This window comes from Homo sapiens, chromosome 16 (assembly GCF_000001405.40).
Source record: "Homo sapiens chromosome 16, GRCh38.p14 Primary Assembly".
Classification (NCBI taxonomy): Eukaryota; Metazoa; Chordata; class Mammalia; order Primates; family Hominidae; genus Homo; species Homo sapiens.
The window spans coordinates 4,964,314-4,977,230 of record NC_000016.10 but is presented as its reverse complement, the minus strand read 5'-3'; the positions used below and the strand labels follow the sequence as shown (position 1 = coordinate 4,977,230).

General features: G+C 48.5%; 1 protein-coding gene across 3 annotated transcripts in view, besides 2 other annotated features; it reads right to left on the bottom strand.

Moving 5' to 3' along the window:
- SEC14L5 (SEC14 like lipid binding 5) overlaps positions 1-12,917 on the bottom strand; it is a 60,828-nt gene that overhangs the window by 41,927 nt on the left and 5,984 nt on the right. The window lies entirely within an intron of this gene.
- Positions 6,829-7,123: a silencer, noted in NCBI's record as "tiled region #439; HepG2 Repressive non-DNase unmatched - State 20:ReprD". NCBI's record gives its function as "represses a minimal TATA promoter and a strong SV40 promoter by Sharpr-MPRA in HepG2 cells {active_cell/tissue: HepG2}" and the evidence as "EXISTENCE:reporter gene assay evidence [ECO:0000049][PMID:27701403]".
- Positions 7,224-7,723: an enhancer, noted in NCBI's record as "H3K27ac hESC enhancer chr16:5019509-5020008 (GRCh37/hg19 assembly coordinates)". NCBI's record gives its function as "activates a minimal SCP1, AML or CMV promoter by ChIP-STARR-seq in naive H9 embryonic stem cells {active_cell/tissue: H9 hESC(naive)}" and the evidence as "EXISTENCE:reporter gene assay evidence [ECO:0000049][PMID:30033119]".

Here is a 12,917-nt window from a genome sequence, read left to right as displayed (position 1 = left end):
AAGGGATCTGCCTGCCTCAGCCTCCCAAAGTGCTGGGATTACAGGCGTGAGCCACTGCACCTGGGCCTGCAGGTTTCTTTTTGTATTCTGGAATAATTACATTTATTTTCTTTCCTTGTTAAACATTGCTGTGACCTTGAGAAACTGTGGGCCGCAGGCACCCTGCCCTGGGAGAGGCCCTGGCAGAGACCAAACAGGGCCCAGCCCCTGTGCCTTTCATACCTCCCAAGGTCCTACGGGATCAAACAGCTGACGGGACCTTTCTGTGTTGGAAACCAGCTCACACCACTAGTTTTGTCCCTGCCTAAGAGCCTCAGCTGCCGGCTCCTGTCCCTACAGTTGGCTTGACCACCCACAAATGAGACCTGAGCCTCTCCCTGCTAAACAAACACATGGTTTGGTGCTCTCAGGAACACAAGGCCACAGAAGGATTCAGTTACAGCCCTTCTGCCAGGTGGCTGGAGAGGACATCCAAGCCTGCCTGCTCAGAAAAGGAGATGGTCCAAAGCCCAGAGCCCACAGCTGCAGGGCCACAGTGGGGCAGGCAGGGACCAAGCAGGGCTGCCTCTTACGGGTCCCCATCCTGGAAAATCCATATTGACACAATTAGCATCTGGAGATGGGAGGCTGGAGCTAAATAGCCCTGAATTCCCACCCAGACTTGCCCAATTCCAGGCTGGGTAACCCCTCTTTCATTTGTAAAGTGCAATAATCATAGAACCTCCCAACTAGCACTCAGGTGGGCCTATTTTATTGCTTCATACATCACAACTACTGAAATAGGGTCATCAGCCGCTGATATCCCTGAATTTGCAGTGCTTTGCAAAATGCCTAGCACATAGTCCACACTCAATAGACATTTACAGGATGAATGAATGAACAACAGCATAGCACCGCCCTTAAGAGAGTGGGCTCTGGGGCCTGGGTTGGGATCTCTGCTCTGCCTCTCATCAGCTGTGTGAAAAAATCATCAAGCTCTCAGTTCCTTAATTCCTTTGTGTGTAAAAGGGGAAGTAAGAAAAGTAGCTACCTTGCTACTTGTCAGAAGAATAAAGGAGTCAGCTCATGCAATGTGCTTAGAGCAGTGCCTGGCACATGGTTCATTCTACATCACCATTTAAGTAAATTTAAATTTTAAAAATGAGTGAGATTCTGTAAAGTACAAAAAGCTATTTCTGCTAATCACTTGACAGATGATCCCTCCTCCCCTCCTTCCTTCCTTCCTGTTCTTCCTCATCCAAATTCAAAGGAAGCTGGAATGCCACTTACGCCAAAACGTCCAGTAAGAATGCAGAAAGAATATCCAAGCTGCACCAACATCTTCCAGCCCAATGCTCTCCCTTCCCTTTTCTATTCTGCAGGCCTGATTTGGGGGCCTGGCCACTACGCAGCCACTGAGTAAGGTGCCCCCATCGCCTGTCATACTCTTCAGGAGTCTCCCTATCAACCCCTTTCCTTCCCCCTGCAAGTCTAGGGGACCTCAGCACAGATGTGATATCAATCTACTCACCTCCTCCAACTCTTTTTTAAAAAATTGAAATATGGGTATCTACCCAAAGGAAAAGAAGTCATTATGTGAAAAAGACACATACACATGTATGTTTATAGCAGCACAATTCACAATTGCAAAAATATGGAGCCAACCCAAACGCCCATCAACCAATAAGTGGATTTTAGAAACGTGGTATATATACACCACGGAATACTACTCAGCCATAAAAAGGAACAAAATAATGTCTTTTTTTTTTTTTTTTTTTTGAGATGGAGTTTCGCTCTGTCACCCGGGCTGGAGTGCAGTGGCATGATCTCGACTCACTGCAAGCTCTGCCTCCCGGGTTCACGCCATTCTTCTGCCTCAGCCTCCCAAGTAGCTGGGACTACAGGCGCCCACCACCATGCCCAGCTAATTTTTTTGTACTTTTAGTGGAGACGGGGTTTCACCGTGTTAGCCAGGATGGTCTTGATCTCCTGACCTTGTGATCCGCCCACCTCCGCCTCCCAAAGTGCTAGGATTACAGGCGTGACAAAATAATGTCTTTTGCAGCAACTTGGATGGAGCTGGAGGTCATTATTCTAAATGAAGTAACTCAGGAATGGAAAACCAAATATCATATGTTCTCACTTATAAGTGAGAGCTAAGATATGAGGACGCAAGCTGGGCGCGGTAGCTCACACCTCTAATCCCAGGACTTTGGGAGGCTGAGGTGGGCGGATTACTTGAGGTCAGGAGTTTGAGACCAGCCTGGCCAACATGGTGAAACCCCATATTTACTAAAAATACAAAAATTAGCCAGGCATGGTGGCACACACCTGTAATCCCAGCTACTCAGGAGGCTGAGGCAGGAGAATCGCTTGAATACAGGAGGCAGAGGTTGCAGTGAGCCGAGATCACACCACTGTACTCCAGCCTGGGTGACAGAGTGAGACTCCATCTCAAAATATATATATATGAGGATGCAAAGGCATAAGAATGATATAATGGATTTTGGGGACTTGGGAGGGGAAGACTGGGAGGGAGTGAGGAATAAAAGACTACACATTGGGTACAGTGTACACTGCTTGTGTGACAGGTGCACTAAAATTTCAGAAATCACCACTAAAGACCTTATCCATGTTAAAAAAAAAAGCTGTACCCCAAAAACTGTTTAAATAAAAATAAATGTTTTTTTAAAAAATTAAAATATAATTATCATATCATATAGCCCACCCTTTTTAAGTATGCAGGTCAGGCCAGGCACGGTGGCTCACCCTGTAATCCCAGCACTTTGGGAGGTCGAGGTCGGAGAATCGCTTAAGCCCAGGCGTTCAAGACCAGCCTGGGCAACATAGCAAGACCTCATCTCTAAAAATAAAAATAAAAAACTAGGCAGGCATGATGGTGCGTGCCTGTGGTCCCAGCTACTCGGGAGGCTGGGGCGGGAGGATGGCTTGAGATTGCAGTGAGCTATGATCCTGCCACTGCACTCCAGCCTGGGTAACAGAGAGACCCTGTCTCAAAAAATAAAATATAAAGTATGCAGTCCAGTGTGTTTCATTCAGTACATTCATGAACTTAAAACCATCACCAATACCTATTCCAGAATATTTTTATCACCTTCAAAAGAAGCCCTGTATCCTTCAGAAGTCAACCCCATCTCCGCCCCCTCCCCTGCCACCCCAGTCCTAGACAACCACTCATCCGACTCATCTACTTTCTGTGTCTATGTATTCCCTTCTCCGGATAGTTCCAAGAAATGAAGTCATATAAGGCCTGGTGAGGTGGCTTACACCTGTAATCCCAGCACTTTGGGAGGCCTCAGGGGGCAGATCACCTGAGGTGAGGAGTTCAAGACCAGCCTGGTCAACATGGCGAAACCCCATCTCTACTAAAAATACAAAACATTAGCTGGGCATGGTGGCATGCACCTGGAGTCCCAGCTACTCAGGAGGCTGAGGCACAACAGTCGTTTGAACCCGGGAGGTGGAGGTTGCAGTGAGCTGAGATTGCCTCACTGCATTCCAGCCTGAACAGCAGAGCAAGGCTCTGTCTCAAAAAAAAAAAAAAAAAAAAGAGACAGAGAAAAAAGAAATCACATAAGACATGGCCTTCTGCCTCTGACCTCTCTCACTCAGCACAATGTTTTCAGCCCATCTGTGTTGCATCGTGCATCAGTGCTTCCTTCCTTTTCACTTCTGAAGACTGTGCCATGGGGTAGACCCCCCAACTTTTCGTAGGGGTGCTCAACTAGAGCTTGCTGAATGAGTCATCAGCCATCCAATGGCAGCAGTGTCACCCAGCTGATGAAGGGAAGTGGGCCTGGCAGAACCAGGCTGACACTGTTCCGGAAGCCCTGACATGACTGTTGCAGACAATCCATCATTGCAGCTGTACCCAGATGGCCCTGGAGCTGAAAAGCCACTGCTCATCCCAGCAAAGCCAGCCCGGGACACACATGAGATGGAGACACAGGGTCAGAACAGCGTCTGCAGCCAGGGCACCTGGACTCAGTGACAGGACAAGGGCGGCGCGTGGGGGAGGGGCAGAGACACAGCACAGGGTCAACATGTGACCCCAGCTCTGCCACTTGACAGCTGGATGCTCTCAAAGCAACCTCTCTGAGGCTCAGTTTTTCTCAGAAAAAAAGAGGAAAAGGATGCTGACTCATGTATGCCTGTTTTATTCCTTCACACATCACAACTGCTGAAGTAGCATCACCAGCCCCTGACATCCCTGAATTTGCAGTGCTTTGCAAAAATGCCTAGCACATAGTCAACACTCAATAGACATTTACAGGACGAATGAATGAGCAACAGCATAGCACTGCCATTAAGAGTGTGGGCTCTGGAGTTGCTGCAGCAATTAAAGGGACAATGCCAGGTACCACATTGTTGATTTTTTCTTAATGGACAAGAGCAAACCAATGGAGACTTAAAACAGATATTTGTACACAAATGTTCACAGCAGCATCATTTACACAATGATCAAAAGGGGGAAAACACCCACGTGTCCATCAACAGATGAACAGATAAATGAAAGGTGATGGAGTCATACAATGACGTATTCTTCAGCTTTAAAGAGGAGTGAGGCACCTGGCACCTGCCACGACACGGCTGAACCTGGAAGACATTGTGTCCAGTGAAACGAGCCAGAGACAAAAGGACAACTATTGTATGATTCCTTTTCTATGAGGTACCTAGAATGGTCAAATTTGCAGAGACAGCAAATAGAATAGTGGTTAATAGCAGCAGTGGGGAGCAGGGAGTGGAGAGTTAGTGTTTCATGGGTACAGAGTCCGGTTTGGGATGATGAAGGGGTTCTGGAGATGGACAGTGGAGACAGTTGCACAATAACGTGAATGTACTTATGCCACTGAACTGTACACTTAAGATGCTTAAATGGGAAGTTTTATGTTACGTGTATTTCATCACAATAAAAAACTATAGAGTGAAGCCAGGTGCAGTGGCTCACACCTATAATCCCAGCACATTGGGAGGCCAAGGCAAGAGGATCACTTGAAGCCGGGAGTTTGAGACCAGCCTGGGCAACACAGCAAAACCCCTATCTCCACAAAATATTTTAAAATTAGCCAGGTTCGGTGGCACCTATAGTCCCAGCTACTCAGGTAGCTGAGGTGGGAGAATCGCTTGAACCCAGGAGGTTGAGGCTGTAGTGAGCTATAATTGCACCACTGCACTCCAGCCCGGGCAATTAAAAAAAAAAAAAGAATAAGCCACCTCCTAGATGGTCTACAGCCCTATCAGAAGCATTTGTCATGGTTTGGAATAGGACATTATGTCTGCGTTTGTTTGTTTACAGTCTCAATGCCACCGTCTCTATGTAGGTTTCATTTACCACTGAATTCCCTGGTGCCTTGTACAACACCTGGGACATTGTAGACGTTCAGCCAATATTTCTCAAAGGAATGAAAGGAGGAAGGAATGAGTGAATGGCCAGGTGCCAGGGAAATAAAATAGGAAAATGGAACCATCTTTCTATATATCCCTGGGAGATTAAGTCACATAAGTACCGGTCTCCCTAGTCTCAGAGTGAGTGGACCTACATCTACACTCCCAGGGGACATCAGCAGGTGCGCAGCCCAAAGCTCTACCTTCAGAGAGCTAGGTTCTGGAAGATACTTATTGGGCAGGTGAATAAATGAGTAACTCCCCCTCAGTTGTCAGAACAGGGTTTATCCACAGGGATTAAACAATGAATCAGCCATGAACAACAAAGCTGGAGAGGGAGAGTTTTGCCAGTTTTTTTGGTTGTTGTTGTTATTGTTGTTTGTTTTTGAGACAAGGTCTTGCTTTATCACCCAGGCTGGAGTGCAGTGGCAAGATCACGGCTCACTGCAGCCTCGACCTCCTGGCCTCCACTGATCCTCCTGCCTCAGCCTCCCAAGTAGCTGGAATTACAGGCACACATCACCATGCCCAGTTCATATTTTAATTTTTTGTAGAGACAAGGTCTCACTGTGTTGCCGAGGCTGGTCTCTCAAACTCCTAGGCTCAAACAATCCTCTTGCCTTAGCATTCCAAAGTGCTACGATTATAGGCGTAAGCCACCGCCCCTGGCCAGTTTTGCCTGTTTTTAACAAGTTCCCTAACCCATGGCTGCAACAGGACCAAAGTCAGCTAGTTCTTTTTTTTTTTTTTTTTTGGCTCTGTCACCAGGCTGGAGTGCAGTGGTGCAATCTCGGCTCTGTATCCTCCACCTCCCGGTTCAAGCGATTCTCCTGCCTCAGCCCCCCGCGTAGCTGGGACTACAGGCACATACCGTCACGCCCAGCTAATTTTTGTATTTTTAGTAGAGACGGGGTTTCACCATGTTGGCCAGGCTGGTCTCAAAGTCCTGACCTCGTGATCCACCCGCCTCGGCCTCCCAAAGTGCTGGGATTACAGGCACGAGCCACCGCACCCAGCCAGGTCTAGTTCTTACTGGTTCCTACTTCTGCACACTTGGATGTACTTTTGGGCTGGGAAGCCGTGTCCCCTCCACATGAGGACTCACCCTCAGAATGACTGGCCTCTCCGGCACTGGGAGAACGACAGCCCGTGCCACCCATGTGTGCACAAACCCACTGCAGAGTCTCACTCACGTGTCAGGAGCGGGGCCCAGGGACTCCTAGGATCAGCTGGTTCCCCTGATGGCTCCGGGAGGGCGGATGACTTAGCGAGGCCAGCCTAGAGCAGCTTGACATTTACATGGTATGTCAGGATTTTGCGCAGAGGGGAAACACTATTTTAAATTTTCCAAGTGTCTCAGGAATGCCTCCAGACCTCCAACGTCTCTGCTTCCTGGCCCCTGATGACGCTGCCAGCCACTTTCTAACTTGCACTGGGGTCCCATTAAGCTAGTTCACTTCTTTGAGAGACAAGTTCTGCCCCATTGGCCTTTGCATAGGCTAAACCCTGCTTAACATCCCCCACCTCCCCACTCCCTGCTTCCCCGCAACTCTCAGCCTGGCTGGCTCAAATGACCCTCCTATGGCCTCCAGTGGGTCCTTCTTTGTGTTCCTACAATGCCCTGTTTTTCCCCATGATGAATGGTTCTACATGGCATTTGTCTGTCACCCCCTCCCCCAATAGACTATGCTGAGGGCTCGATAAGGGCAGGAACCACATCAAAAGAACCAGATGGGCCAGGTGCAGTGGCTCACGCCTGTGATCCCAACACTTTGAGAGGCAGTCAGTTCACTTGAGCCCAGCAGTTCAAGACCAGCCTGGGCAACATGGTAAAAACCCTTCTATACAAAAGATACAAACATTAGCCTAGCATGGTTGTGTGTGCCTGTAGTCCCAGCTACTTGGGAGGCTGAGGTGGGACAATCGCTTGAGCCTGCAAGGTTGAGGCTGCAGTGAGCTGTGATCGTGCCGCTGCACCCCAGCCTGGGTGACAACCTGAGACCAGTCTCAAAAAAAAAAAAAAAAGGAAAGAAAAAGAACCAGACAAGACAGACACAGTCTTTTCTTCCTGGAGCTTCCCTTAATGAAAAATACCCATATAAACAAGTAAACAAGGAAACAAATGAACAGAATAACAATGCATTTCAAAAAGTACCAGATCAGGCCGGTCACAGTAGCTCACACCTGTAATCTCAGCACTTTGGGAGGCCAAGGTGGGTGGATCACCTGAGGTCAGGAGTTCAAGACCAGCCTGACCAATGTGGTGAAACCCCATCTCTGCTAAAAATGCAAAACTTAGCCGAGCATGGTGGCAGGCACCTGTAATCCCGTCTACTTGGGAAGCTAAGGCAGGAAAATCGCTTGAACCTGGGAGGCGGAGGTTGCCATGCGCGAGATGGCACCATTGCATTCCAGCCTGGGCAACAGAGGAAGACTCTGTCTCAAAAAAAAAAAAGAAAGTACTAGATCAGTGCACATTTGAGCCTCTGACATTGGAGAAAAAAAGAAGTGCTAGGAATCCACCTCGCACAGCCTTCGGCACACAGCAAAAACTCAAAAAATATTTGTGGAATGCACACATGCATGAATGCATAAATAAATGCACACAGAAATGAATGCACGAGGGCCTTACACTTATTTCAGGGCCCTCGGAAATCAGAAGACAACTATGCAGGGCAGTGGATCACCTCTGTTCTCCCAGCGCAAATCAGAGCAGCATTCAAGGTAGAAAACATTGCTTGCCTTAATCTGTTAGCAACAGGATCAGATGACAGGCTCCAGGGAGCTAATTTAAACTCATTTAAATAAGGCCCCGGCCGCTTTGTTAAAACTACCTCCGTAACAGCGAATCCAACTGTAACTGCTTTTGGCCTAAGCCACAATAATTTACCTTCACAGGCTGCTTCTTATTAATAACGCATTGGCTAAATTACAAGCTGTTTAACAATACAACAAGGCCAGGTCTTTAAATATTTTAACATGTAATTGCTGAAGGACAGAACCTTACCTCCGTAACCCTTCCTCCACAGGAAAAGCCTTTTGCTTAGGAAGTTCTACTCCAAGCCATCTTCCTTATTTAGGTTTGCAAAACAGAGATGACCTGACGCTACTGGGCTTTGGAGCCCCACAGGAACACCTGGGCAGTGGCTGGACAAAAGGGGACCAGGTCATTCCTAAAGCCACAGTACTGCTGCTGGTGCACAAATGTTTATGGAAAGTCAAGGCCAGGTACAGTGGCTCACATCTGTGATCCCAGCACTTTGGGAGACCACAGGAGGATGGCTTGAGCCCAGGAATTTCGGACTAGCATGGGCAACATAGGGAGAGCTCACCTCTACAAAAATATTTTTTAAAATTAGCCAGGTGCGGCCGGGCGCCGTGGCCCACGCCTGTAACCCTAACACTTTGGGAGGCCAGGGCAGGCGGATCACCTGAGGTCGGGAGTTCGAGACCAGCCTGACCAATATGGAGAAACCCCGTCTGTGCTAAAAATACAAAATTAGCCTGGCGTGGTGGTGCATGCCTGTAATCCCAGCTACTCGGGAGGCTGAGGTAGAAGAATTGCTTGAACCCGGGAGGCAGAGGTTTCAGTGAGCCGAGATTGCGCCACTGCACTCCAGCCTGGGCAACAAGAGCGAAACTTCGTCTCAAAAAAAAAATTAGCCAGGCGTGGTGGTGAACACCTGTGGTCTCAGCTATTTAGAAGGCTGAGGTGGGAGAATCACTTGACCTCCAGGAGGTCAAGGCTGCAGTGAGCCATGATTGCACCACTGCACTCCAGCTTGAGTAACAGAGCAAGCCCCTGTCTCAAAAAAGAAATATAATAAAATAAAATAGAGAGGGAGAAAGGGAAGGGAAGGAGAGGGGAGGGGAAGGGAGGGGAAGGGGGAGGGGGGGAGGGGAGAGGTGAAGGAAGGAAAGAAGGAAAGGAAGGAAGGAAGGAGGCCAGGTGTGGTCACGCCTGTAATCACAGCACTTTGGGAGGCCGAGGTAGGTGGATCACCTGAGGTCAGGAGTTCAAGTGACCTCAGGGTCACTTGAGGTCAGGAGTTGGAGACCAGCCTGGCCAACATGGTGAAACCCCATCTCTATTAAAAATACAAAAATCAGCCAGGCATGGTGGCGGGCACCTGTAATCCCAGCTACTCAGGAGGCTGAGGTGGGAGAATCGCTTGACCCTGGGAGGTGGAAGTTTCAATGAGCCAAGATTGCACCACTGCACTCTAGTCTGGGCGACAGAGCAACACTCTGTCAAAAAAAAAAAAAAAAAAAAAAAAAAAAAACGAAAGAAAGAAAAGTCAGAGCCAGAATCCGGAAAGTCTGGCTGTGAGCTCTGGCTGTGGGGTCAGATTCCCTGAGTTCAAATCCCAGCTGTGAAATGTAACCCCTAAAATAGATATGTTGAAGTCCTAAGCCCTGGTACCTGTAAATGTGACCTCATTTGGAGAACAGGTCTTTACAAGTAATCAAGTTGAAGCGAGGCCATTGGAGTGTCCTTATAAATCCAATATGACTGGTGTCCTTATAAAAAAACGGAAATCTGGACACAGTGAGTCATTATGTGAGGACTGGAGTTCTGCTGTCCCAAGTCAAGGAACTGTCCGAGGCTGGGAGAGAGGCCAGGAGCAGATCCCCTTCTAGAGCCTCCAGAGGGAGTGTGGGCCTGCCCACACCTTGAATTCAGGCTTCTGGCCTCCAGAACAGTGAGGCAATGAACTTATGTTGTTCTAAGTCACCCGGTTTGTGGCTCTGTGGGACCATAAACACTGGTCACTGAGGGACAGTCTCCTGGACCTTGCTGAGCCTCAATTTCCTCTTCTGCTACAGATCAGGCTGCTATAATGGACCTGCCTCTGAGCTGGCCTAAAGGGCTGGCCACAGGTAGCGCTGAATAAACACTCCCGGGCTTGGCCGGTGTGCCAGGGGCCAGGGCCTGCAGGCTTGGGCTGTATTCTCCCTTGCAGGGTCCCGAAGGGGTAAAGGCATCCTGATGGTAACTGCCTCCGCTGGGACCATGCACTTGGCCCAGACGCCAGCTCAGTAACTTCAGATCCTCCATCCAGCTCTGAAAAATGGTAGAGCTCATAGTTGGGGTGTAAATTGAGGGGCCGAACTGCCTGAAGTTGAGTCCCCACCTGCTACATGTTTGCTTTGGAGCCCTGGATAAGCCTCTCCTTAGTCTCCTCCTCTGTCGAATGGGCTGCCCACAGAACTCATCTCATGGGGTGGCTATGAGGAATTAATAAGTGAATAGACTCAGAGCAGTGTCTGGGGCTGGGCACGGTGGCTCACGCCTGTAATCCCAGCATTTTGGGAGGCTAAGTCGGGTGATTACCTGAGGTCAGGAGTTCCAGACCAGCCTTGCCAACATAATGAAACCCTGTCTCTACTAAAAATACAAAAATTTAGCTGGGCATGGTGGCGGGCACTTGTACTCCCAGCTACTCAGGAGGCTGAGGCAGGAGAATCACTTGAACCCGGGAGGTGAATGTTGCAGTGAGCCGAGACCATGCCACTGCACTCCAGCCTGGGTGACAGAGCAAGACTCCATCTCAAAAAAAAAAAAAAAAAAAAAAAAGAGGCCGGGCGCGGTGGGTCACGCCTGTAATCCCAGCACTTTGGGAGGCAGAGGAGGGCGGATTATGAGGTCAGGAGATTGACACCATCCTGGCTAACACAGTGAAACCCCGTCTCTACTAAAAAATAGAAAAAATTAGCCAGGCATGGTGGCGGAACTTCAGTGCTGTGTATGAGTTTGTTAAATATTTTTAACATTTTTAACATTTTTTTTAATTTTATTTTTTGAGGCAGGGTCTCACTCTGTTGCCCAGGGTGGACTGCAGTAGCAACATCACAGCTCACTGCAGCCTCAATCTCCTGGGCTCAAGTGATCCTCCTGCCTCAGTTTCCCAAGTAGCTGGGACTGCAGGTGTAAACCATCACACCCAGCTAATTGTTTTATTTTTGGTAGAGATGGGGACTCCCTATGTTGCCCAGGCTGGTCTCAAACTCCTCAGCTCAAGCAGTCCTCCTGCTTCGGCCTCCTAAAGTGCTGGGATTACATGCGTGAGCCACCACAACTGGCCTTAAATAAAATTTAAAATAGAATCTTCAAAAACCCATTGAATAACCGGTACCATTCACAATAGAGATTTCTTTTTTTTTTTTTTTTTTTTTTTTTTTTTGAGATGGAGTCTTGCTCTTTTGCCCAGGCTGGAGTGCAGTGGTGCTATCTCGGCTCAGTGCAAGCTCCGCCTCCCGGTTTCACACCATTCTCCTGCCTCAGCCTCCCGAGTAGCTGGGACTACAGGCGCCCGCCACCACACCCGGCTAATTTTTTGTATTTTTAGTAGAGACGCGGTTTCACCGTGTTAGCCAGGATGGTCTCGATCTCCTGACCTCGTGATCCGCCCGCCTCGGCCTCCTAAAGTGCTGGGATTACAGGCGTGAGCCACCGCGCCTGGCCAACAACAGAGATTTATTTGGAAAGAATATGTTCATACAAAAACTTGTGCATAAATATTTATAGCAGCACTATTTATAATAGTCCCCCCAAACTGAAAACAACTTAAATATCCATCAACTAATGAATGATAAAGAAAATGTGGTCTATTCATACACAGTGAAGTATTTATTTAGCCATAAAAACAAGGCAGAATCTATACATGCTAAGATGTGGATGAACCTTAAAAATATTGTACCCTCAGGTGTCTTCTTATCACCAGACACATTCAAGATGTATACGTTAAAGACATATAGCTTTTTATGTGTCAATCACACCTGAATGAGGTAGTTTTAAAAATATATATTATAGTGGCTGGGCACAGTGGCTCACACCTGTAATCCTAGCACTTTGGGAGTCCAAAGTGGGCAGATCACCTGGGGCCAGGAGTTCGAGACCAGCCTGACCAACACGGTGAAACCCCATGTCTACTAAAAATACAAACATTAGCCGGGCGTGGTGGTGCCCATCTGTAATCCCAGCTACTCAGGAGGGTGAGACAGGAGAATCTCTTCAGCCTGGGAGACAAAGGTTGCAGTGAGCCAACATCAGGCCACTGCACCCCAGCTTGGGTGACAGTGAGACCCCGTATCGAAAAAAGAAGAAGAGGTGGGGCACAGTGGCTCACGCCTGTAATCCCAGCATTTTGGGAGGCCGAAGCAGGAAGATCACCTGAGGTCGGGAGTGAAGAAGAAGAATTGGGGAATGTGCTGAGGCCTCGAGCAGAGAGAGAGCCTGTGGGTCTGGTTCTTTTTTTTTTGAGATAGGGTCACACTCTGTCACCCAGGCTGGAGTGCAATGGAGCGAACTCGGCTCCCTGCAACCTGTCTCCCAGGTTCAAGCGATTCTCCTGCCTCAGCCTCCCGACTAGCTGGGATTACAAGCATGCACCACCACACTTAGGTAATTTTGTATTTTTAGGGAAGACGGGGTTTCTCCATGTTGGTCAGGATGGTCTTGATCTCCAAACCTCATGATCCACCTGCCTCGGCCTCCCAAAGTGCTGGGATTACAGGTGTGAGCCACCATG